This window comes from Homo sapiens, chromosome 12, assembly GCF_000001405.40.
Source record: "Homo sapiens chromosome 12, GRCh38.p14 Primary Assembly".
Taxonomy (NCBI): domain Eukaryota; kingdom Metazoa; phylum Chordata; class Mammalia; order Primates; family Hominidae; genus Homo; species Homo sapiens.
In genome coordinates, this window is record NC_000012.12 from 23,650,940 (window position 1) to 23,677,199 (window position 26,260).

At 34.2% G+C, this 26,260-nt stretch overlaps 1 protein-coding gene across 42 annotated transcripts in view; it reads right to left on the reverse strand.

Annotated features, from left to right (window-relative positions):
- The window catches only part of SOX5 (SRY-box transcription factor 5), a 1,033,147-nt gene that overhangs the window by 121,436 nt on the left and 885,451 nt on the right, over nt 1-26,260 (reverse strand). For 30 of the 42 annotated variants that reach the window (XM_024449159.2, XM_024449158.2, XM_047429458.1 and 27 more), the window contains one exon: nt 14,505-14,628. In XM_024449159.2, the coding sequence (XP_024304927.1) occupies nt 14,505-14,628 (124 nt within the window). The remainder of the gene's footprint in view (nt 1-14,504; nt 14,629-26,260) is intronic. The other 12 variants (NM_152989.5, NM_001261414.3, XM_047429465.1 and 9 more) reach the window with 1 other exon arrangement.

Genomic DNA, 26,260 nt, shown 5'->3' on the forward strand with positions numbered 1-26,260 from the left:
CAAATAAATCAATGAAGGAGAGCAGAGAATAGCTTTGGGAGACAGACTTGATAACTGATTTGATGAAGTAAAAGAAAAAAGAAAATATGTGAGAATTTTTTTTCAGTGTTTGAAGTTTTATTTTGGTATATGATTTAAGAAATATTGTTTCCCCAAATATTTAATTATTCCCTCATCGTTTTTGAATAATTACTTGTTCTCCCACTGATTTGAAATGTGGGAAGCTATTATTTGTTGACTTTTGGCACTGTGTTGAAATATCTTACATATACATATACACATATATACATATATACATATATGTAAATGTATAAAATTGCTTTTAATCTTCACAACAACTCTTTAGGGTAGAAATTATTATTCCCATTCTACACAATTTTTTAAACTGGCCAGGATTATCCCACGGTTAATCATTACTAGAGTTCTTACTATTTTAATAAGGAAAACATTATTGCAGAACACACAGACTACTTTTAAAGCATTATGCAAATGTATACTTCAATTTTCATAACATATTCAACTAATTTCCATTCAATTAACATGTATCAAACTCTTACTATGTGGAGAACACAAAGCACTAAAAGGTACAATCCTTGCCTTCAAAACACTTTCAGTTATGAAAATAAGACATATAAATATGGAAAGTGAAATGAATCAAAACTATACAATTGGAGTCAAATGAATATAGGCAGTAATTACCAGAGAAAAGGATTTATACAAGTTGGATCACTGGGGAAAGAATCAGAGGAGGGGCTGAGATTGAGTTAGGCCTTGAATATAAAATACGAAGTAGAAAAGATGCGAGAAGCCTATGAGCTGAAATGCCTGGCATAGAGTAGATGCTCAATTAAAAAAATGAGCCCCAAAGTAGGAGGTACAACAGGATCAAAGAAATGAGCAAGCAAAATTCAAGATCTAGCCTGTAGTTGAACCCATTTCATCTAGTAGCAAAAATTATTTAGAAGGCTGATTATGGTCTATCGATGACCTCAAATACCAACATAAGCAATTTGTACATAATTATGTCTTTAAATATATGCACAATTACCTCCTATCCTAAAAAAAATGAACTATCTAGAATATAAAACCCCTTCTGAAACCATCATCTATTTTCTCTCATCTAAATTGTTAAAAACTAGTGATAATCTTAAATCCTTCTCCTACTCTTTAGTTCTCAATCCATATATTTTTGGGGAAATGCTTTATAAATTTACTAATGACCTCTGAATTGCCAAATTTTAATGAACATATATCTGCAACAGCTGCCTCTGTTAATGATTTTCTTCTTCTCTAATTATATCTATACATTCTCTTGGCTTTTCTTAAAACAGCTGTCCTGGTTCTCCTTATATCTTGTTCATGCCAACTTTATTATCTGTTTCTGCAATAGGCTGTTCCACCTTCCTTCATCCATCCCTTCCTTAAATATTGGTATTCCTTGGCGTCTAATCCTTGGCACTTGGTTCTTCTCCTTCTATTCACTTTATCTGAATGATCTTATCCAATCTCATGGTTCAGCAACCATATACAAACTAATATTTTCCAAATCAGTGACTGTAGCCTAGACCTCTTCTACTGTTTTTTTTTTTTTTTGAGCAATTCTCCCTAGCTGTCCCACAATAAGCTCCACCTTCACATGTACAAAATGTAATTTATCTTCTTTCTTCCAAAAGCTGCTTCTACTCCTGGTGTTCTTATAACACTTAGTGACACTCAGTCACCCAGACTACAAATATGAAAGTAACCTTGATTTCTCCATCCCTTTCACCCTCCACGGCCAATAAATCATGAAGATCTTTTCCTTTAAACTCCTAGGTCTACATGTCTTTCTATTATAAGAGCTTCTCAATCAGTCTCCCAGGCTCTAGTCCTCTGCTAACGAAATTCGTTCTCTCTCTAGTTTCCAGTAGCATTCAATACAGGCAATCTGTAGTATTCATTCCTTGTATTTGAAGTATAGTAAGTATTTATTAATTATATACTATGTTTTAGGGGCTGAAAATGTAACAGGGAACAAGAGAAGCATGCTTTGATGTGGATATATGGATGGATGAATGAATATGGATGGATGGATGGATGAATGTACAGATAGATGGATGGATGGATGGATGGATGGATGGATGGATGGATGGATGGGTGGATGGATGCCAGTATGATCTCAATCCTAGGCTTCAGACCTTTCGTGGTTTTCTGGCTCCTGCAGCATATGTCTAAACATATTTCCCTGAATTGGTCTCATGTCCTCAAAGTACTACTCACTTGTCACTTCCTACCATATACATTATTCTTAACACTTAGCTGTTTATAGGTCCATGTCCACCCTATTTTATCTCTTGCTTTCTGGTCTTTAGGCTTTTTTTTTCTGCTTGGAATAGTCTGTCTGTATCCCTTCAGCCCAATCACTTCTTCGATTGTATAGCTGCCTTTATCCTTTAGGTTGACTTGAGACCCCTCACACTAAGAATCCTTTCCTGATACTTCAACACTCTTGGATTTAAAGTAATTCCTTTTCCAAAGACTTCTCTTAAAATATGATGCATATCTGTATATTACCACTGCTTATATCCTTATTCTGTCTGTTCGGGCTGATACAACAAAATACCATGAACTGGGTGGCTTATAAAGAACAAACATTTGTTTCTCACAGTTCTGGAGGCCGGGAAGCCCAAAATAAGGGCACCAGCAAATTCTGGGCCTGATGAAGGCCCATTTTTTGATGAATAAATGGTGCATTCTTTCTGTGTCCTCACACTGTAGAAGGAGCAAGGCAGCTCTCTGGGGCCACTCTTATAAGGACTTTGCCCTCATGACCTAATCACCTCCTATTAACTTGAAGGTGAGGATTTCAGCATATGAATTTTGGGGGAAAATAAACATTCAGACCATAGCAATCCCATTCTCCCCAACTAGACTAAGAGCATCCTAAAGGGAGGAATTATGTCTTGCTCATCTTTAAATCCCTAGTCCCTAGCACAATGCCTGACACACTTAAGCCTATTAAAATGTTTATTGACTGAATAAATGAAGGAAGAATTCATTTAAGAAGTTAACAAATATCAAATACAAGAGACAACTCTTGGCATATCAAAAGCCTAAGGTTTAGTAGAAAAACCATATTATAAGACAATAATTATACAAATAAGTATTAGTTTTTTGTGCACGGTTTAATTCAAACAAATACTTTGTTGAGTTGCAAATGTTGAAAGGAAGAACAGATAATGAAACGGGACAGAGAGGCCTAGAATTTAGGGGTAGGAGGAAATCAGGACCCAGAGAAGGTAGTTAAAGAATAAAATAATCTCTTTTAACATATTTTCATATAACAATAATTCTTTTATAATATTCCATAATTTATCTCTTGTAAATTTTGATTTTATAAACAATTCTTATCCTCTTAGGTATGAAAATTAAGTAATATGCACTTCCAAAGTCTTAAAATGATTTCTGTTCATCAACAAGAATCTTTTATTATGATTTCATTAAAGCACCTGCACTTGGTCATTGTATCCACTAGAAAATAAGATGTTACATATAAACATATAATCAAAACAAAATCATTCTTCACTGTGATTGTTTCATATCATTTTATACTTTCTTAAATCCAACCAAGATGAAATTTGTTTCCTTATGGCAATAAGTTCAGCTATACTTTTTTCCTCATTATAAGTAGTTACATTTATAACAACTCTCCTACAGCATCTTGAGCAACCAAGAACAAGTGATTTGCTATACACAAGTAAAGGTGAAGGAATTTCGAAATGTGGAAGATCTGTACAGTCTTTTTAGATTTGCTAGAATAGTATAATATGACTTTAACATTTGAAACTTTTTATAAGAAATGCTAATATTTTGTATTAAATTTCATAGAATGGTAAGTAATGAATGGGAATATTTCATATACATTTTATTCGAGAGAGTAAAATAAATTAGCTCTTGTTTGACTATATAGATATTTTAAAATAAGACAATATAAGGTAATTGTTAGTTCTTAACTGCTTTGTCACAGCTAACTATTTTCAATAAGAGATTTTTTAAAATAAAATATATTTTTATGACGTCTTAATGTAGCATAGCAAATGAAAACTTTATCCTATTTAATTTAATAGTTACCTAGTTGGCTAGTTTAGAAAGAGATTAATTTATGAACTCTTTAAGAAACACCTCTCAGAATGGGAAGACCTTTCTGCATATAAAAAATACATTGTTCTTCATCTCCTTGCCCGTAAATTGGAGAATGTGATTATCAATAAAACTTCTTGGATTAATTATCTAAGAAGTCTGAGTATCCCTGAAAAGGTGACAATGAATCAAATATGTCTCCTTTTCCTTCTGTATTCCCGCCTGACTGCTAAGGCATCATTTAAGGTATTGCACAATAACTCATTTTAAGCTGCTTAACAAGAATCATGAATTATGGAACTGCTTCTATATCCAGCTCTATCTTAGAATACTATGTCTACATTTTGCCTCTGTGTCTTATGAAGAAATGAATGGTCCCGAGAAAATTCATCCAAAATGTTTCAAGTATTAGAGAGTAGGAATTTGGAAGAGGGGCATTCGCATAAGCCACTTAAGACCAAATTAAATGCAATTCCTCTTTTATTTCCCACTTTTAATATTAAGGCTTAGCAACCATTTAATTTGCTGACTCCCTTTCTAGCCATTGCACCTTTCTCTCTTATCTGGGCTTTTGGCAGACATCGTATACCTCCTGAGTGTATCCAGGGTCTGAGGTTCACAGGTGAGAATAGGAAGCTTCCTAAATCACTACAATGGTAAGCCTATGAGATACACATTTAGAATGATTGCTGGCCTAGAGATTCCTACTAAAATAATAAATGTTAAACCTCTAGAAGTTAATAAATGTTGTCATTAACATGAATGAATATGAAAAAATACATAATATAAATGTCTTGAATGGTCAGAGGCATAGTGACCTAGAATAGAAAAACTCTTGACATCCTTTTCATTATGACATATTTAATAGTTTCACAACAGGAGTATATATTTAATGAATCATAATGATATTTTATATTTATACAATAATTTGACTTCTTTAGAAATGCATATACTCATCCCATCCACATTTTACAATCTCCTTATAAAGTATGTAGAGCAGACATTACTGTGGCTGCCTGAAAGATGAAAAAGATAAAACAGGGAGAGCAAGATGACTTGCCCAAGGGCACAGATTAATATGAAACGGGACTGTGACTACTAAGGTCTTCTGACCCCTTGTTTCATTGTATTTTTTTTTTTCTGATAGAATTCATTAAAGCCAGACAATTAGTTTCTGATTTCAAGTCTTATGAATGCTAATTCACAGATAACTTGGGCCACTCCATTTTGAAAGTTTTAAATTCTCCATTAACAAACTCAGAGAGCATTAGAATTTAGATGCAAACTCTCAGGTGCAAAATGTTCAGAAAGAAACTAAAGTAAAATATCACATACTAGAAATGGAACTGGTTACATGAAAAATTCATTTGGGGCAATATGCGCATACAAAAATATTCATTGTAGCATGGTTTGAAACTGTAAATGCAGTAGAAATACCTAAATGTCCATTAGTGGGGAAACCAAATAAAATACGATGTATCCATCATAAGGAAATATAGAATAATTTACATCTGAAAGTATGGAGGAAGAAGATATCCATAATGTATTTTTCATACATGTAAGTAGTTTGTCATCTATGTAGCATATATCCTCAGGTATATGATATACAGTACATATCGTAAATATACATAGTATATGTATCATATTATGCATATTACAATACACAGGCTATTTTGCTACATATTACACATCTATATCTAAATATTTTTATATAAATATATATAATGGATTCATATTTACATGTATACCTAGCTCTGGAAAAACATGTATAAAATTAATGGTAGTTACACCTGGGTAGTGGGATTATAGGAGTATGTGAGTGAAGGCAGATAACTTTTAGTTTGTTTTCTACAATTCTCCATTGTTTGAGGTTGTTGCAGTCAGAAAGTGCCACCTTTAATATATTAGAAAAAAAATATGAAGGGTATTATGAGCTGACTATAGAGACAGGTTTAAGAAATGTTTGAGTATACTCTTTGAAAATAGAGCCAAAATCAATTATTAGGGAAATAGTACTGTCTGAAAAGTTGCTGTAGTTCTTTCTCGCCTGACTTTTCTCTTTTCATTGTTGGAATGTGGAAATGGAAGCTGGATAAGGTATCTAAGACCATAAGATGTAAGCTACAATTTGTGGAAAGCCGTAAAATCAATAAGAGAGCAAGCCTGAGACTGGATGTCATGGAGTTACCATATAAGCGATGCTTAGATTATTACGGAAGTAAAAAATATTCTTTCATCATGTTTAAGCTAGTACTATTTTGGCCTTTTACAGCAGCTAAACCTGTATCCAAATTAATGCAGCATCCTATTCCACATGACATTTCAAAATCAGGACTTTTTAAGTCCTTACGGAAAATATATATCTATTGTAGAGTTTGAAGCAAAATGTTTTATCTTAGCTTGTTTTACTAAATATTTTTCTTCTTCCATACTTTCCAATCAATCTTATGACATAAGTTTGCCTTCTAGTGGAGTCTTAGAACATGCTTACTGGAGATTTCCGTTGTATTGTATCATGAACTGTTACATTTATTCAGATAAAATAATATATTGTTCTTCTGGGCTTACACTTCAGGTTGATGAACTTAGTCTGTTACTGAGATGAAATTCCATTCTTGCCGTGGCAACAAAAATAAAAACTTAGAAGTCTAAGGGTTAGGCTCAGCTATGACAAACTCATATGGTAATTCCATATTTTGAAGTCTTTTGGCTGACAGCACAGAGTGCCATTAATCACTCTTTCCATCTTATGTTTATACATTGTGAAGGAGGAGACTCATGTTGAAAAGAGAATACTAAGCTGAATGAGCTTTAGGTTTAAAATGAATGACATTCTGATGTTCTTAAATGTTAAAAAGTAAATGACATGGATTAAAAGAAAAGCTAGTTATGGCCTAATAAAATCTGAGAAATTTATCAAAGAAAGAGTCTTTGCTTTTTTGTTTGCTTGTGTGTACGTATTTTGGTGGTGGCAGTGTGCATATGTTGGGGTGGAAGTTGGATTAAATGCTGGTTACTAATATAGATCAGTTATCATCTCACAGTTATAATGATTAAAATCAATTATGTGACAATATTTAATAAATAATAAAGTACAGTATAAGCTATTATTTTTATGTCAAGTTATAATACTGTGATTGCCACAACAAAGACATATCCCTTTTTCAGTAATATAATCTTAAGACAATAATGTCAACTCCATTTTCAATCAAAAGATATATTTTAATGACCTAGAAACACTTTTCTCATGAGAAGTGGAAGATGACTGTCACCACATAATTATGGAATGTTGTATACATTTTTGAACCCAGTTCTCTTTATTTTTCAATCATTTCATATTTTTAAACCACTAATGTAACTACCTCAAAAGGGAACTTAAATGACTGGCCATTCAGGTACCAAAATAATTCAATTCTTTACAAATATAAACATTTACAAAGCTTTACAACTAAATCAGGATCTCCCAAAGTCATCGGTTTATAAACTTCTGGGAAGGCAGAGGAGAGGGGAAGAGCTGGTCACAATAATTCTAACACAAAAAATACAGAAACCAGCTGGGCATGGTGGCTCATGCCTTAATCCTAACACTTTGGGAGGCCAAGATGGGTGGATCACTTGAGGTAGGAGTTCGAAACCAGGCTGGCCAACATGGTGAAACCCCATGTCTGCTAAAAATACAAAAAAATTAGCAAGGCATGGTGGCAGACGCCTGTAATCCCAGCTACTCAGGAGGCTGGGGCAGGAGAATCGCTTGAACTCAGGAGGCGGAGCTTGCAGTGAGCCGAGATCGTGCCATTGCACTCCAGCCTGGGCAACAGAGCGAGACTCCGTCTCAAAAAAATAAAAAATAAAAACAAACAAACAAAAAACAGAAGCCTAAAGACATGATTATATCCTCTTTTCTCTCTGCTTATTTACAAAGAACATACAGTATGGGATCCTGACAACACATTTCCTATTTTGTCAGTTTGATAAAAGCGTACCATGTTGATGGTTTTTAGCTTGTGATTTTTGATTGTTTTAGCACTCATCACCAATAACCTGTATGTCAGCTGACATAGCTGACACCGTTAAATCAGAAATTAGTATGCAGTCTCCTAAAATGCCAGACACGTGAACTCTTTGCATAAGAGATATAATGGAACCCACATGATACTCCCATTAAACAATGAAACATGTGACATTAACTAAAAACAGGAACACATCAGCAAATACGCCTGAGGAAGTTTATGGTATTTAACTCCTAAACATTAATTTTATTGCGGTGTATGAGGAACTAATTAACTGAGAGTTTCCCTTTTTATTGGAAACGGAAATACTGTTCAGAAAACCGATGAAGAGTAAATACAGCATATTTTAAGTTTATTAAGCTTGGCTCATCGACTTCTATTTATTTAAGCTAATCTCATGAGGCAATTAAATATTTCAATCAGTAACTTTATATGGCTATTTAGCACATATCTGAAAAGTTAATCAATGTTTTAAAATGCAGAATGAGGATGTGAATATATTTCTAGTTTTATACAGCCAAAACAGTGACTAACTACATTTTCTAAAACTCATATGATGTTTCTCAACATGAGCTCTAATAAAAGGACAAGTAAAAAACAACAACAGAAAAAGTTTAAAACTGGCCAGGCACGGTGGCTCACACCTGTAATCCCAGCACTTTGGGAGGTGGGTGGATCACGTGAGGGCAGGAGTTTGAAACCAGCCTAGGCAACGTGGCAAAATGCCATCCCTACTAAAAATACAAAAATTAGCTGGGCGTGGTGGTGCATGCCTGTAGTCCCAGCTACTTGGGAGGCTGAGGCAGGAGAATCTCTTGAACCTGGGAGGTGGAGGTTGCAGTGAGCCGAGATCATGCCACTGCACTGGGTGACAGAGTGAGACTGCCTCCAAAAAATGAAAAAAAGAAAAGAAAAAGTTTAAAACTTGGTGATTATAATAAAAACAGGTAAGGCTAAGGTTGTATTAAACCAAGCAAATGTTTTCATCAGCACTTTGCTGCTTTTCTGTAAACAGTTGTTTTCCTCAGTCAGAGGAAGCCTCATTCATGTATGGCAGAGTGAGTTTGATCCTAACTCAAAGAGAGTGAGTGATGAAATGTCATCAAATGCTAGGTGTGATTTTAAAATCCTTTTTTCCTTTCAAAACAAGATCTGTATTTTGCTCGTACTACATTATCTCAGTCTTTATCACTTGTAAATAACATAATAAGACAGGCACAATATTAGGCACCAATTCTTAGATAATCTCGTTTGATCTTTGTAACAATTCCGTAAAATGGATCATGGATCTTATTACACCATTGTGTAGATAAGGAAACTGAAGCTTAATAACTTACATTAGGACAATCGAAACATCAGAATGAGGTAAAATCTGATCCCAAGTCCAGGCTCTCTCCTTCAAAGTACCTCTCTATTTGCAGTTGCCTATTTGAGATTGCATTAATTAAATCAAAACAAATAAACCAAATATTGAATGCTTGAAATCATATTGACAAAGGAATCAATTGGTATAAACAAGTAATTGATTATCTTCATCATACTATACATAGCACTGTTAAGTGGAAAATAAATTTTGTTATAATATTCTGTTCTGTGGTTGGCAGTGTAATAGGTGAAAGACAATAACTTCCAGGTTAAAAAAAAAAAATCACAGTAATTTTTAAAACAACTCTAGGACAAAAGTTTCCAAACTTTCTTTGATTAAGGCACCATTGATGGTTCAATAATTGTTTCATGGGACTCTTAAAAACAAAGGAAATATCCAACTGCTCAATTTTATTTAGTAAAGTCCAAAGAACTTATCTATGATAGTTCACATAGTGTCCAATAGATGCCTCTGTATTTTCTCTAAAATTTTAAAATATCCTGTGCCCCTATGAATTAGCTACACCACCCTGGGAACCTTGGCACACAGTTTGAGAACCATGGCACTAGGCACATGTCAAAATGTTCTTGGTAAATATTCTCTATCTGTAGCTATATTTCATATTCAGTTTGATACTTTGAGCCACTCTTTTATGATCAAGCCAGCTCTTTTATAATTGTTTGTTTTATACTGCATATAGTAAATGGATTATTTTATCGGATTTTGCCAATCATGCGGATTTTTAAAATTTCCACATAAAATATCTTCCTGTTACAATTTGTAAACCATCTAATGGTTACAATTATATTACTGGGAACTTTATACCCATACAGAAAAGACAGGGGCAGAGGACTGCAGTCTCTAGTAATAAAACAATCATCTCTAATTTCTACCTCTAAAATATGTACTCTAAAGAAATAGCAATGATCCTGAACATGGGGTGCAAAGAAGCCATGTGCTGCAGGAAGAGGCCTGGAGTGTGAGTGAGACAAAGTGTTTTTGACTAACCTTATATCCATCAACCACCTTTTCTCAAATGTCGCTCTCAAGTATAAAATTTTAGGCTGACACCAACATGAACATTCAAAATTATCTTCCTTTAAAGTCAATTTTGTGTAAAGTAGGATTTGCTCTAGGATGAGCAAAAGCAGTATCTTTCCAAAAACATAAAACTGTTCTACAGGTGTCAAAGGCATTTATATTTTATTTCAAAAATATGTATCTGACACAAGCTTCACAGCTCACATGTTAAAGTCTTTGATAAATAGTTTAGGATACTACTCAGACTTTCCAGCAGGAGCAAATGGACTGTGTTCTTGGACTCTTCAACCATCCACTGTGTACTTGAACCAATTCATTTGTATACCCAGTTATTTTATTAATTTAGACTTGAAACTTTAGTTACTTAGTTGTTCAAACTTAAAGGGCTGCAATAATTATTTTCTGATCAAAATGAGCTATTATCCACAAATATAATTAAGAATTGATATTTTAAATTATCTCTTATACAGTCTGGTGTGTGTTTACGTATAACAGCTAAGTTGACAGTTTTAATAGAACTGAGAAGTTCAAAATACAGATTATTCAACTAATTTTTTTCTTTCCCTGAATGAACTTGTCTCTGAATGAAGCTGACTGATTAAACCAGTGTTTTCATGTAATTATTTTCAAGTTCTATATTTATTTTATACACACACATTATATATATACACACACACATATACATATATATATATAGAGAGAGAGAGAGAAAGGATTTGATTCAAGAACACACATCATTTTCACCTCCTCAGAAGTGAAATCCTCAAGTATTTTTAGGATTTTAATAAGTAAGGAAAGCAATAACTAGATATGGATCCATGCAGTGGTTTCATGTGTAATTCCATTCATACCGAATGCCAAACAGAATCTGGGAGGCTGCTGATACTACATCAACATCTGTGAACTGATCCACATACTCATGGAAAAGAATGGACAGCAATATTCTTCAGATTATCTTTTCTATCTGTCTAGTCAATTTTCTCTGCTGTGTCTGGCTGTGCTGCTACTAATTTACTCTTATATTGTTTAAATGATATACATTCTAGTACTCAAGAGAGGCTCAGCAACCACATTTTGTGGGTTTCCATTCCACACCATATTTCAGCTGTTATATATTTCTTAAAGAAAAAACGATCTTTATGTCCAACTAAAAGCTTCTCTTTCAGAAACAGGAGATGTTAACTCAATTTACAATGATTAGGTTCCTTAAACTGTGTTTCTATTTTTTTTCCTGTTGAGTACATTTAAAGTCTCTAGTTTAGTCCCAGAGATTTTAAAATTTATTTTATGTATTTTATGAAGACATCTAGTCGAAACAGAAACGTTTATCATCAGTATGTTCAATAAATGGATTGATGAAAAGTATCTGTATTTTTTATAACAACAAATAGTATATCTTTCATATTTGCTTAAAATTGAAGTCAAGATGGGTTGGTCAGTCTCTTTTATTGAAGACTATGTAATAAAGTGAAATAATTGGCAACCGGAAAAGTCACAAATGGTTGACAACCTTGAGGGGAATAAATCAGGAAATCCCACTGAAGAGCGGTAATGGCACAATTTCTTCTCCTACCTCTATTCCTTTCCTGAAATGTGACTAGGGAGGACATCGTCTGGACTACTTTTCACTTCCACCCAGTTCTTCATTCAAACTGAGTCAAAACGCCAGGGGTCAATGAGGGTGGCAGTTCCTTTTGCTACTGGCTTCTGCTTAGTTCTAGAGTTTGGTGTGATGCCAGTTTCAAGCTTGCCAGCAGCTGTAAAGGCTTTTTTTCTGTTTTATTTCCAAGGTTACAAAAGAAGGGGTATCATTTATAACTTTAAGCACTAAAAGTATGAATATTAAATGGTTAATATACTAACTATTTTGGAAATGGAAAAAATTCTCCACGCCACGTTACATTAACACTCAACAAATTTAGTATGCCAACTCTGTCAAATGAGAGTGAGGTGGAGGTGTTCTTGACCTTTTCCAGGCCTACGGTTATGCTATTGTTCATACTAAATGTGGTTTTCTCTTCAGCACACAATATTTGCTAATGGGACTTACTTCTGCAGTTGCTTTAAAAAACTTTTTTGTTTTATTGAAAATATAACTAGTCTATATGTATATATTACAGATGCAGTCAAAGGCAACTAATGATTTTAGAAAGTGTCTTTTTTTTGTTTTTTACTAAAAACACATCTGTGGCATGTATTTAATGTGAACAGTAATTCTTGAGAAAGTAGAAACAAAACAAAAAACCTTCATGATTTAAAAATCAGAATTTAAAAAAATCAGAATTTAGTGTAGCAATAAAAATTAAAATTCTATTCATAGAATTTATTCTTAGAATGTAAAATATTTAGAATGAATATAGTATTTAATTATTAAAAAAAGTTGGTGTGTCTGGATGAGTTGATAACCTACAAAGGTAGGACGATGCGGAAAATAATATTAGATGAATAAATTAAGAGTCCAGAGTGAGAATTCCATTTAAAACGCAGGACACCAAAGTAAAGGGAAAGATTTGCAAAAGCAGTATGAAAATCTCAAAGAGCAAAGCACCACACATATGTGAATTTGTATAGTCTTGAATGCAGACCACTTTTATCTTAACTCCAGAGTTGCAATCTTCTAATCTCAAATTGCTTTGCATATTTAAGAAATTACAACCCATTTCTTCAATACGATATAGAGAAAGATTTAAAGACGAGAAATAAATGTTGAAATCCCCAATGTGAGAATTTAAAACATCACCTAAAAGAAAATGTAGAACTGATGTGTAGTAATGTTAGAATACTAGAGTTTCTCAAATAAATTAAATACTAAAGCATAACAAGATGTTAATGGCACAATTCATTAACATATATATATATATAAGCCAAAATGCACTGGAATTTAAAAACAATATTCTGTGTAATTATCTAAAATAATATTTCACTATTTTTTTTCAGTGGTGTTCACTTTTATCAATGAAAATATTTCAATGAACTTGCTTTTACTATTTTCCTTCTGGCCATGGTAAAGATGTTCTGGAAGATATCTAGCTTAGCAATCTAGCCCCTCTTTAGAATGTGTTATTATTTTTATCTTACAGAATACAGTTGGCATTTTGACTATAATTTTTTCAAATGATGTATTTTTTCCTAAGACTAACAATGTGCAATTTATATTTGGGTAAGAAAGAGAAAAAGGCATGAAATCACAGGCATCTAAAGTTAATAAGCAATATAAACAGTTATCCTAGTATATCACGTAGCTCCAAAAATGTCTTCTATATTGCTTATGTATTCATTCATTAATTCATTCATTCAAAAACGTTGAATGGTGTATTAAAAGTTGAGATACAACAATGAGTATGACAGAATCAGCAACTGCCTTCAGAAAGTTTACAAATAAAAAGAAAATATACAGAATCCAAAGGAAGCCGGAGAAAGGGACCTAACTTAAGTCAAGTCAGGCAAGCGCTCCCTAATCTGAGCTAGAAGCACTTCACAATATGAAGGAGAGTGAATACTGATGATGCGAGTCCAGAGTCAAGAAAAAGAATGGTTCGGTCTAAGAACTAAAAAGACTGGTGAGAATTTAGGCTGTAAATATTTGGAAGAGACAAATAACAGAAGGCCAACTCATTCATGTTAGGGAATTTGGGTTTATCTCACTGTTAAAAAGGTGGTAAAAAGCATACTCCTATGTCATCTATGCAAAAAATAAAATGAACCCACAAATTACATTCATACATTAACAATACACTGTAAATCGAAGTCATGAAATTGAATTATAAAGAATATTGGCTTCAGAAGCACAGATTTAATCTAAGTCCTTTAAGTACTAACACACTTCTCCACACATTCTGTGTGTTTCCTCTTTAAAATAAAAATGCTATATGGGTGATCTCATTTCTTGGTGTGGCAGGAATATTAAATTGCCTAATTTAAAGCTTTGCCCTCCACCCACTCCCAGATGAAAAATCAACAGTACTTACTACATCCAGCCTTATAGCTGAAGCCTGGAGGGAGGAGGAATCCTTGCTGGGCAGCTGCAGCCAGTGTCCGTTGATCAGGAGGGAATACGGGAATCATTAATGGCGGCAGCTGACCTTGAACCTGCTGAACGTGATAGAGCGAATCAAAGAGAAGAAGTTTCGATGCTCCATGCTTCTTCCCACCCTCCTTATTTCATGATAAAAGAAAATCATTTATTCAATTCAAAAGACTGGCATAGAAGCTTGCTGGGATACTGGGCTTGAGGATATGCTTTGGGACTACCTTAAACAGCAGAACTAGAAAATCCTAGAGCTGAAAGGTATTATTAAGTCGACTCTCTAACACGACGAATAGTTTCCCGAAATGATATCCTTGGCAGTGACGAAAATATCACTACTTTGCATGATAAGCCTTTTTCTTATTGCACTAATGAAATGGCTAAAAAATTATCCCATAGAAGGAACTGAAATCGCCCTCTGCAAATCCTACTTGTTGGGACTAATTCTACCATCTAAAACAAAACTAACTAAACCTGTATCATTTTATATGTAAATAGCTCTTCATTATTTGAGGACAAATTCTCATGTTCACACATAATATTGAATTTTTAAATTATTGAATACAGTAATCGACCTGGAAGAAAGATTACAGAATAGCTAAAACTTTACTCTTTTTTTTTTTTTAATAGAAGAGGTAAGTAGTGCCAAAAGATAACTGACTAGCCACAGAATTAGTTAGAACTGGGTCTAGAATTCAGTCTCTTGAATCCTGCTACAGATTCCCTGTACAACATTTTTGCCTGCATCTATCCCTTTTGAAGCAACTGAAGGACTCCTTAGACCACAGGGTCTCCATTTTGGTTGTCATCTTTGGAATATACTCTAATTTGCTGGTCCCACTCTCAGAGTATGGGGTTCACATTAGTTAATAAATAATCCAGCACAATAGAATCACTATCTTGTTTGAGCCGAAAAGGAATTTTTAGAAATACAACCTAATGTGGCCATTTCTGCAGCCTTGTCACATTATTAACTAGAGATTTGTCACTAACTAAAATACTTTTTTTGAACAAATATTTAAGCAAGATCTCGCTGGTGAAAATGATTATTGGTTAGTGTTTATTGATGGATGGATATATGGATGGTAATTTGGGATCATGTTTAAAATTACCTTTCTGACAGTTTATTCTCCTCCACTAGTCTTCCCACACATTGAACAGTTATTTGTAAAATATTTAATAAATATCTACTATGTGCAAGAAACTGAGCTAGGCAGTAGAGATGCAATAGTGAACAAGAAAACTAAAATCCCACATCTATGAAGCCTTGATTATAGTAGGGATGATGGCGGTGAAAAAAGTAAAAGAAACAAATACACAAAGATAATTACATATTTATTCAGTCACTAATCCTAACAGCACCTCTGAATTGTCTTTCAGATCTGTTTTCTTGTTTTCCCAGTCGCATTACACATTCCTAGCGTTCTTACGATTCTTACAGTTCTCATCATTTCTCACTTTAAAAGCCCACCACCTTCAATTTCTCCTTTATTTAATCTTCCACAGTAAACCTCTGAGCTGTTTCTGAGATTTTGGTTGGTGAGTGTGGGGGGCAGCGAGGACTGAGAGAGGGAGAAGGGGAGGAGAGGGAGGGTGAAAGAGAAGGCAATGTGTGTGTGGTGGTGGGGGCGGCAGAGAGAGGGAGAGAGAAAAGCAATATGTGAATGGTAGATCTGTTTTCAGCAATGACACCAAATTACAAAGCATTATATAGGGAAAGTTTTATTGGCTATATTGTTAATTGGTTATTATTTGTATATAAAGCATTCTTGTTATGGTGGTTTTTATCTAGATAATTTATACTTTAATCGTTTATAATATTCTTTCAGATAAAAGTTTTAGTATTTTAAGGAATAAATTGCAATGAATTCTGGAGCTTTTATTAAATCTGTGCATTCTAAACTTCGGTCTTTTATAGATCAGATTATGAAAATGCATTTTGTTTTAGTATTATAATTTGTTTTAGTGTCTAAATTTTTCAAGATCCACTTGTAAAGAGTGACATCGAAATTTAAAGCTGAGAAAGACCCTAGAGATTATCAGCAACAACATAGCCAACATGCTAATGAGGAAATAAGACCTAGCTTGGCCCAATAAATTGTTCAAGATCCCATATTTAGCTAAAACCAAACTTACGCTGGAACTGCATCTCCTGTCTCAATCTAGTGAGGGGAAGTAGGAGATAAAGGAACTGAAAGAGGAACTACAAGGTGGAAAAAAGGGAGCTAAATGAAAAATAAACCTAATTTCACAGTCCCAGTGATTGGTTTTTATTAGACCATCATAGAACAGACTGTAGAGTACTGTACTATTAATAAAAAGAATACAGTAAACAGTAAAATAAATGTAATCCAAAATGTGTGGTTAATCTATGTGAGCGACTAAAAACACATCTCAAAATATCGTTGATCCTGATTATTCGTGGATTCTGTATTTGCAAATTTGCCTATTGGCTGAAATTTACTCGTACCCAATTTTAATAATGCCACTTTCCTGGTCATTTGCAGACGTGCACAAAGCAGGTAACAATTTTGTTGGTAATTTTTTGTTTAAAAAGCTCCCAAGCATAATGCTTAAGTGCTGTCTAGTGTTTATGAGGCAAGAGGGCTGTGGTGTGACTTACGCAGAAGACTATGTATTAGATAAGCTTTGCTCAGGCATGAGATATCCTGCTGTTGGCTGCGAATTCAATGTTAATGAATCAGTAATAAATATTAAACAAGGTATTTTTAAACAAAAACACACACAAAACAAAGTTATATATTGATTAGCTGAAGAAAAAGTTGTGACCGGAAGCTCGCAAGAATCTAACCATACTTCCTTTAAGAGCAATTGTTCAGCATTCACTAATTCAGTGTTCATAGCAACTTTATAGACCATAACACATATAAACAATGAGCAGTGACTGTATTATTCCTATATCTTGATGGATTTTCACTGCACTGATGCTGAAATTTAGCCAACATTTGGGAGAAAAGGACACACAATATCAAAACGATATGTTTTCTGGGTAGATTCTAAAACTAACTTGGTATAGGGTTAGTAATTCATTCTATATATTTTCTAGTTTTGAATATTTCCAAATCCTGATCACTATTAATTTCTTTCTTTTTCACTGAATGTATGAAATTCCCTTTAAACCACTCATTAAAGTTGAAAATGTGTGACATTTATTAAGTTTCAACAAAATACTTCTGTCATAAATTTTTAAAAGCTAGGGGGCATGTTATTCGCAGGTTAAATAATTCATAATACACATAAGAGGCTACTTCCTATATTTTAAAAACTTTTAAGAAGCCCCGTCTTAATGCTTTTTATGTGTCTACCTCAAGATACTACATAGTCTCTAAGATGTTATGAATCCAACACAAATCACTTATATTATCCCATTTATGAAGAACAAGTAAATACCTATCAATTACTCATAGTTAAATATTTTATATTTTATGTAAATGTTCTATTGTTGAAACATTCAATGGCTTCAAGAAATTAATGTATTAAGTAGATTCTTAAGATTATTTAATCGGAATTTCATTACATGTCCCTATTTATTCAATCAACATCTGCTAAGTAGAATATGCAGTCTGTGGTAACTAGGGATTAAAAGATGAATTCACATACATGGATGCTCTCTAGGAGCTCTGAATCTGGTGGGGCAAACAGACAGATAATTATAATGTACTACTGTTAATTCAATAATACAGACTTGTATAGGATACTATGGAAGTACAGAAGAGAGGCTCCTAACACAGCCAGGAGAAGTCACTAAAGGCCCTGTGAAAGCAGGAGTGGCAGGTATAGGGCCTGAATAGGTAAGGAGCAGAGACAGAGACATAAGAAAAGGAACAGGGGCAAGAAAAAAACATCATGTGAGGGAGACACTACCAGCAGCTAGGAATGGCAAAAAATATGAAGAAAGCAGTGGTGAGAGGTCTGCCTGAATCAGTCTATGCATCAGGGTAAGAAACTAGAGATTTCCCCTGTAGGCTCTGGGGAATCACGGAGGGATTAAATTAGGGTCAGTGGAATACTCTGGTGGATATGGAAAAAGACTGGAGAGACCCAGCGTAGAGACCAAGTGGGAAGTTAATATAAGGGAACAGATTATGAGGGCTAGATCAGCAGAAGAGTAATGGATGAGGAGAAAAAAAAAAGAAAAGAAATATTTAAGAAAAAAAATTGCAGTACTCATAGATGAAAAAATGATAAAATCAAAGATAATGTTTACTTGATGTCACTCTACTTATAGTGGCATCAAACAACTAAAAATTCAGAGTAGAAGTGATAATTTTCATGCAAAAGTGATGGCTACGGTTTTGGATATGACGTGGCTGAGGTGGCTGAATGATGTTGCATTGCAGTTATTTTTCCAGCAGATGGACACTCCAGTCCGAAGCTGAGGGAGGAGATCTTCAGAGGCCACGCTATGGGAAGCCAGAAGTTAATGAGAATGGCCTAGACAATCTAGAAAAGATCTGAAGGAAAAAGGGGAACAGCTTAACACCATCTGGGTTCCAACAACAGTTCAACAAAACGTGGAGGAAAGGTGCCTATCGGCAGATAAAATTAAAGTTAGACAAAAATTAATAAAATCATGAAGAGTATGGTATAACAAAAGCCAAGGGAATTTCAAGATTGAGGGAGTAAACTAATTGTGAAAAACAAACAAAACAAAAAGCAGAAAGTATTCTAGAGACAAAAATAACATCTCTGGGAATGATTAGAAGCTGAATTTATAATAACACCACTTCCATTAGAACAGAGGGTAGAAATCATATTGCAAAAGGGTGAGGACTGAATGACAGGCAACGAAAAGGAGAAAGCAAATGTAGACTATTCTTCAGAGGAAGTTGATGAGAGGTGAGGAGAGACATTAATAGCAGCTGTAGAAAGATGTAAAGTGAAGCAAAGGCTTTTTTTCAGGTAGCAGGGTTCTGAGCACATTTATTGGCTGAAAGGGGCAAATAGAAATGGAGAGTTTCAAATGTAGGAAAGAGAGAAACTAACCAAAATTCCGGAGGAGGCTAGAAGACAAGGCAGAGGTGGAGCAATCAGTTTAGAATGAGAGTGGCATCTCATCCTCTGGGCCCTGAGGAATGGAGCTATATAAATGGATGAAGGCAGATGTGCTTTATGGGTAGGGAAAGGGGAAGGTAAGGAAAATCAGGCCTGACAGAAGAAATTTTCTCAATGATAAGGCAAGCTCATATCCAGAAAATTAGAGAGATTGGAATTGAGGAAGAAAACTGGAACAAGGTTCCAGGAAGTTCTCGATGGTTATTGTGAGAAATGAAAGAGCAAGCAAAACCACAGACATTAAAAAGAGTGATAGAAGATGCCAAGACCTTAGGTGAGACCACATGAATTGTAATATTATCAGATCTCCCTTTTCTGTGATTTTTCTCAAAACGTGCCTAATCACTGTGACTGAGCATCAGAGAAGATGAACTCCAGCATTCAGGGGAAGAGAAGCAGACTGGAGGACTTCAGCAAAGACAAGTTATGAGGAAATAAAAATTGCTTTTGATGAACAATAGGCTTTGGGCTTAAAAACAGGGTGAGAGGCCTGGATGGCATCACCAGACTGGGAAAAACACAGGAATCAAAGAACTGGAAGAACTCCATGATCTAAAGGAACAGGTCTTATGAGAGTGAGTTTGTATGAAATCTCAAACAGCACAAACTTATGGTAGGATATTTGTTTAAATTACATACACAAATGTTAAAATGAAAGGCAGCTCTATGGTTTATATCAGCACAATTACAAATAAACTGTAACATCTAAAACTTTTTCAAATGTTCCTCAAGAGTTTAGTCTGATGAGTGCTACAGTGTTCAAATACACATCATCCTTAGGGATCAGTTCACCTACAGCTGAAATTCAGTCACCTTCAGTGGGGAGCATAGCAGCTGTTTAGAAGCACACAGCAACAATACACAGCAGTTTCTGAGCAAATGAAGAATAAAATATCCAAATGAGATTACAAGAGGGGTTTAGGTAGGCAGAATATAATTACCCAAACTGGAGTAACCAGGATAACAAAGTAACTTTCCACCATTAGCAAAAAGAGACATGGGATCTTCAATGACCGCTAATAGTCTGATTTTTCATTTCATATAAAAGAAAGTCAATTTGTCAGTTTATCCTACTCAATGCAATGGTCTTTAGGAAAAATTAAAAATAAAGGAGTCAATTTATCTTCCAATTAATCTACTAGGAAGACTAAAGAACATCTCATTGAGGAATATAGGCACATAAAAACATTGCTAAAATTGCAATCCCTGCCTCTAACTTCCCAACAGTCACATTGGAGTTGTATCACCTCTAATTTCATTTGATTCAAGACAAAGACAAAGTAGCCATATTCTTTTAGAACAAAAATGAACAGCCATGTGGATTTTTTACATAGTACTCTTCTTCGGCAAAAAGCCACAGAACTTTTTTTAAAAATCGTTTCCAAGGATGAAAGTGACTTTGCCAAGCAAAGTGGCTTCAAAACAGGCCTCAAAAATACTAATAGAAAGACAGATGGTTCTACTAAGAGCTTGGCTGCCAAAGTGGAAAAAAAAAGTAAAAAACAAAACAAAAAAAAAAGGAGTGATGCTATTGAAGCTGACTGCAAAGTTATCCGATGACTACAAATACTTTTGTCCCATTGCAAGTGCTAACTCTGCCTCCAGGGCTGATATAGCCAAAATACTAACTTCCCCACATCCAATCCCCCTGTATTCCTACCCCTCCTAAATGAAACCTGTCAGTGCCAAGCCCCAGAAAACAGCACAAGCATGCACTTGATTCTGACTGACTGCTCTGCAGAAGCAAAATATTGCATTGAAGAACTCCTATTTAGGAACAGACCTACAAGGAAAATTGCTTTTCTTTTCAAAACTGCCTGTCACATTTTCTTTTTCTAATTCCCCTCTTCCTCCTCCTCCCTGTCACCAAAGGGCCCCTGGGCCCTATGAGTTTATATGATACAAACTCAATTTGTATAAAGAAGGCAAGAAGCAGCACCACAGAGAGGTGAAGATAGTTTGCAAGGATAGAGAAATAATCCAGTCAAGACACAGTGCAATTTTCTCTCCAAACTACTACTACAATAATACCTCCACTTTATTTCCTTCAGGGCAACTGTCATTTCTTTTTAACCAGATTGCTACTAGATATAATAGAAACTGAAATATTATATGGTCACTGACTCTTTCTTTCAATGGCTCATTTCACTACTGCATTTTTACTTTTGCATGATGTGTTTATTGTTGGCAATATTACTAGGATACAACCACTTTCAAAGGATATAGAATTAAGACCTCTGTTACTTTAACACAATAAAATTTCATTCTTAATGCTATGCAGGTTTATCTTAAAAATTCTTGTTGTTTTATAGTAAACTTTATTTTCAAATCTGAAGCATCATGTTCTTACAAAGCATTAGTTCTTATTAATATACATTAAATTCATATCAAATTTCAAAAAATGATGACATGTATTATAAATACAATACATGCTTAAACAAAATATATTTGTTGACTTCAGGTATAATCTCCATATTAAAAGTTGCTAATCATAGAAACTTAAGGGTTGCAAAAACATGGTGTAAAATAAGAAAATGGTGAAAAGATATGGGAGAAACACAGCTATTTCATTTGCTAAAAATTGTTTTGAGCTGAATAAATGAATTCAAATGGTAATTATTAAAATATCTTAGATAATTCATTATTTAAAATTGGGTTATTATTCTAATATATAGCTATTTCTTAAAGTATTATTTTACACAGCTGGTGCTTGATCAAATCAAAATCTTTATTATACAATTCTACTTGTTTCCTAAAGCGTGTGTGACTATTTGTATTACTTATTGTAGTTCTTGACCACAATACAGCATGGTCATTTGAATGTGCTTGTCTGTTAATGTGAACAGAATCAAGATTTGCAAATACTGCTAGTACAATCTTACTTTATATCATGCATTACTACATTAATGGTCATTTACAAGAAAATGAATGAGAACATAAAATATAGTGACCAACATGAAATATAATATAGTTTTCAATTATATTTCTTAGGTATCCATGATTAGAAAACAATAAAATTCCCTATTACTTTCTAATTTGTGATGCTTTGCCCAATGGTTTCTATTAGATTATCAGTTATTTTTCCCCATGTAATATAAAATTAATAAAAATGGCAGTATTCTTATGTTGAATTTCAGTTCAACATAAGTTCTTTGAAAAAAATCTCAAAAATTACCAAATGTCGGGAGGGATGAACTGGGGACACAGGTAATGGGTATAAGGTTTCTTTTGGGAGTGATGAAAATGTTCTGGAATTAGTAGTGATGGTTGCAAACCATTGTGAATATACCAAAAAGCACTGAATTATATACTTTAAAAGGGTAAGTTTTATGGCATCTGAATTACATCTCAATTTAAAAAAAAACCATAGCAAGTAAAAAACAACTTACAAAAATATATAACTTCACTAATACCTGAAGCAGGATTGAGTGTACTTTGAAATAGGCATGTTTTGGAATAATGTTTTGCATTTTTATAAAGGGCTGTCACATACACTAGTTTATGTATACTTTATCCAGCCTCCTAGAAATCAGTAGGTCAGGTGTTATTTCCAATTTTATGAATGAGGAAAACTGATAAGAAAACAAATAGTTTTGGGAACTTACACATGATCACATAGCCACAAATTCTTTGATTATTCTGAGCAAAGTATAAATCAAAATACAGTAATTTCCTGATATAAAAATGCTGATTCAGATAAAGAGCACAGAAACACTAACGAAATTAATTCCTAAATATTTTCTTACCATAAAAAGGAATTTTTTTTTTTTTTTTTTGAGACGGAGTTTCGCTGTTGTCACCCAGGCTGGAGTGCATCAGCACGATCTCGGCTCTCTGCAACCTCCGCCTCCCGGGTTCAAGCAATTCTCCTTCCTCAGCCTCCAGAGTAGCTGGGATCACAGGCACACACCACCGCTTCCGGCTAAGTTTTGTATTTTTAGTAGAGACGGGGTTTCACCATGTTGGCCAAGCTGATCTCGAACTCTTTACCTCAGATGATCCACCCTCCTTGGCCTCCCAAAGTGCTGGGATTACAGGCATGAGCCACCGCACCCAGCCAAAAAGGAATAATTTTTGAAAGCTAAAATTCTATTATGTCTTAAGAGATTTTTATACCAAGGGTCGCATTTTTACTGATTTTAATTTTCATCTTTATATTGTGTCTTATTTTGCTTTTTGTTTTCTGCACAAAATATTTTTCAAAATTTCTCTATATATACTACTATATATACTACTATGTAATATATATACTACTATATATTACTTTAACCATCTGAAAATTGAGCAGAAAAATAGAGATGCAATAGAACGACATAGTACCTGGCATAAAATAAAAGGATATTTAACATAGTAATTGCCATTTGGTGTTAATTTCTTAATACACCCTATCCTGAAGATCTTAAATTGTTAGTCGGCTTTGCCTATTTTGGTAGAAAACAGAAAAATTTTTTTGATATTTGACTGAAGAAAGATTTATCATAAAATGTAAATGTTTCACTCCAACAGGCTAATTTTCATAAAAAGTATGTGATATTCACATTTACTTCAAAGTCTCTTGAAATCATTCCCAAATATCTTGACGTTGACTTGTTTCTTGCTGATATTTCCCACATCACTACTATGTATTCTGTGCAATGAGCTTTTGATTATTATATCTTTAACATTTTTAATATCTTGCCTATGTTGGTTTGCTCTTCCCCAAAAGACTTACAATTTTTTTCTGGCCAAGAGACCTTTTATTCTTCTATCCGTCCTCAGAGTGCAGACTGCACAGTGTAGCTGAAAACTTCACCTGACTTAGCCCAGAAATAACCCCAAGCCTACAAGGTCAACTAATTTTCAACAAAGGCACCAAGATCACACAATGTGGAAAGGATAGTCTCTTCAATAAATGGTGCTGGGAAAACTGGATAACTACATGCAAAAGACTACAATGTGACCCCAAGCCATACAAAACACACAGAGAAAGTCAACTGAAAATGGATTAAATACTTAAATGTAAGACCTGAAACAATAAAAATCCTAGAGGAAAATAGCTTCTTGAGACTGGCCTTGGCAATGATTTTTTTAATATCATACCAAAAGCTCAGGCAGCAAAAGCAAAAATAAACAAGTGGACTACTTCAAACTAAAAAGTTCTGCACAGCAAAGGAAATAATCAACAAAATGAAAAGATAGCCTATGTATTGGGAGAAAATATTTGTGAACTATGGGGTTAATGTCCAAACCATATAAGGAACCCAACTACAAAAATCAACAAAGGACCTGAACAGACATTTTCCCAAAGAAAACATAAAAATGGCCAATAGGTATGGTAATACCTATCAATCATCTGGGAAATGCAAATCAAAGCTACAATGAAATACCACGTCATATCTATTAGGATGGCTATTATCAAAAAGACAGGAGATAAATGTTGGCAAGCGTATAGAGAAAAGGGAACCCTGTATGCTATTGGCAGGAATGTAAATTAGCACAGCCATTAATGCAGGGATGGTGAAAATGGGGAGATGTAGGTCAAAGGGGACTAAATTGCAGTTATATAGGATGAACAAATCTAGAGATCTAATGTACAGCATGAGAGCGATAATTAATAAAATTATATACTGAAAATTTGCTTAAAGAGTAGATTCTAGGTGCTCTTAATACAAAAAAAAGTAATTATGTGAGGTGATGGACATGTTAATTTACTTGACTGCAATAATCATTTCACTACGTATACGTACATCAAAATATCATGTTGTATACCCTAAATATACACAAATAAAAACAGGCAAATGAATAACTGAATATTTTTTATCCATGAACCCCTAAAAAAGCTACACTTTATACTCAAGAACAAGTTTTTCCTCAAAACCCGGCTTAAGTGTCGCTGTCTTTATGAAGACTATCCAAACTCTTCAAGCAAAATACACTCATTCATTGAGCGCTCACTTGGTGCCAGGTATTGTTATAGTCTCTAGGGCTGTTGCAACGAATAAGGCAAGTGCTGTGAAACAGCGAAGCTAGGGCAGAAGAAAAGGAATACCGGGGCAGAGACTGCAAGTTTCAATGTGGAATCCACGACACAGTGACATTTGAAGACATGGAGGAAGTCAGACAATAAACCTCTGAACTATGTAGTGTAATGAACTATGTAAAGTAATGCCTTGAATTATGGCACTTTTCTCTCCGTTATTTGGGAGAGGAGATGCGGAAAAACCTAAGTTAACAGTGTTCTTACTGTGTTCAACAATGTTTCCCTCTCCTGTGTGTCCTCCATACAACTATACCATTAGGTTGACATTATTTGTGTCTGTCTCCATGGCTAAGCTGCCTGAAGAGTAAGGGCATAGCTAACTCATATTGGTATCCACAATACCTAGCTTAATGCCTCAAACATAATAAATGCTCATTATTTCTTCACTGAAGTGATTATTTAAAAAGATATTCACTATTATAAAAGTCTTATGTTTTAGCTTTAATTTCTTCTTATAGTAGCAACTAGCTTATTACAACATTCATATTATACAATGGATCTTAGGCTTTATTCCATTTTCATTCAGGATTCATGACTTTTCCTCAGAGCAATGCCTTAAACTATGGAAAATAATTGATTCAATTTCCCCCCACCCTTTCCAT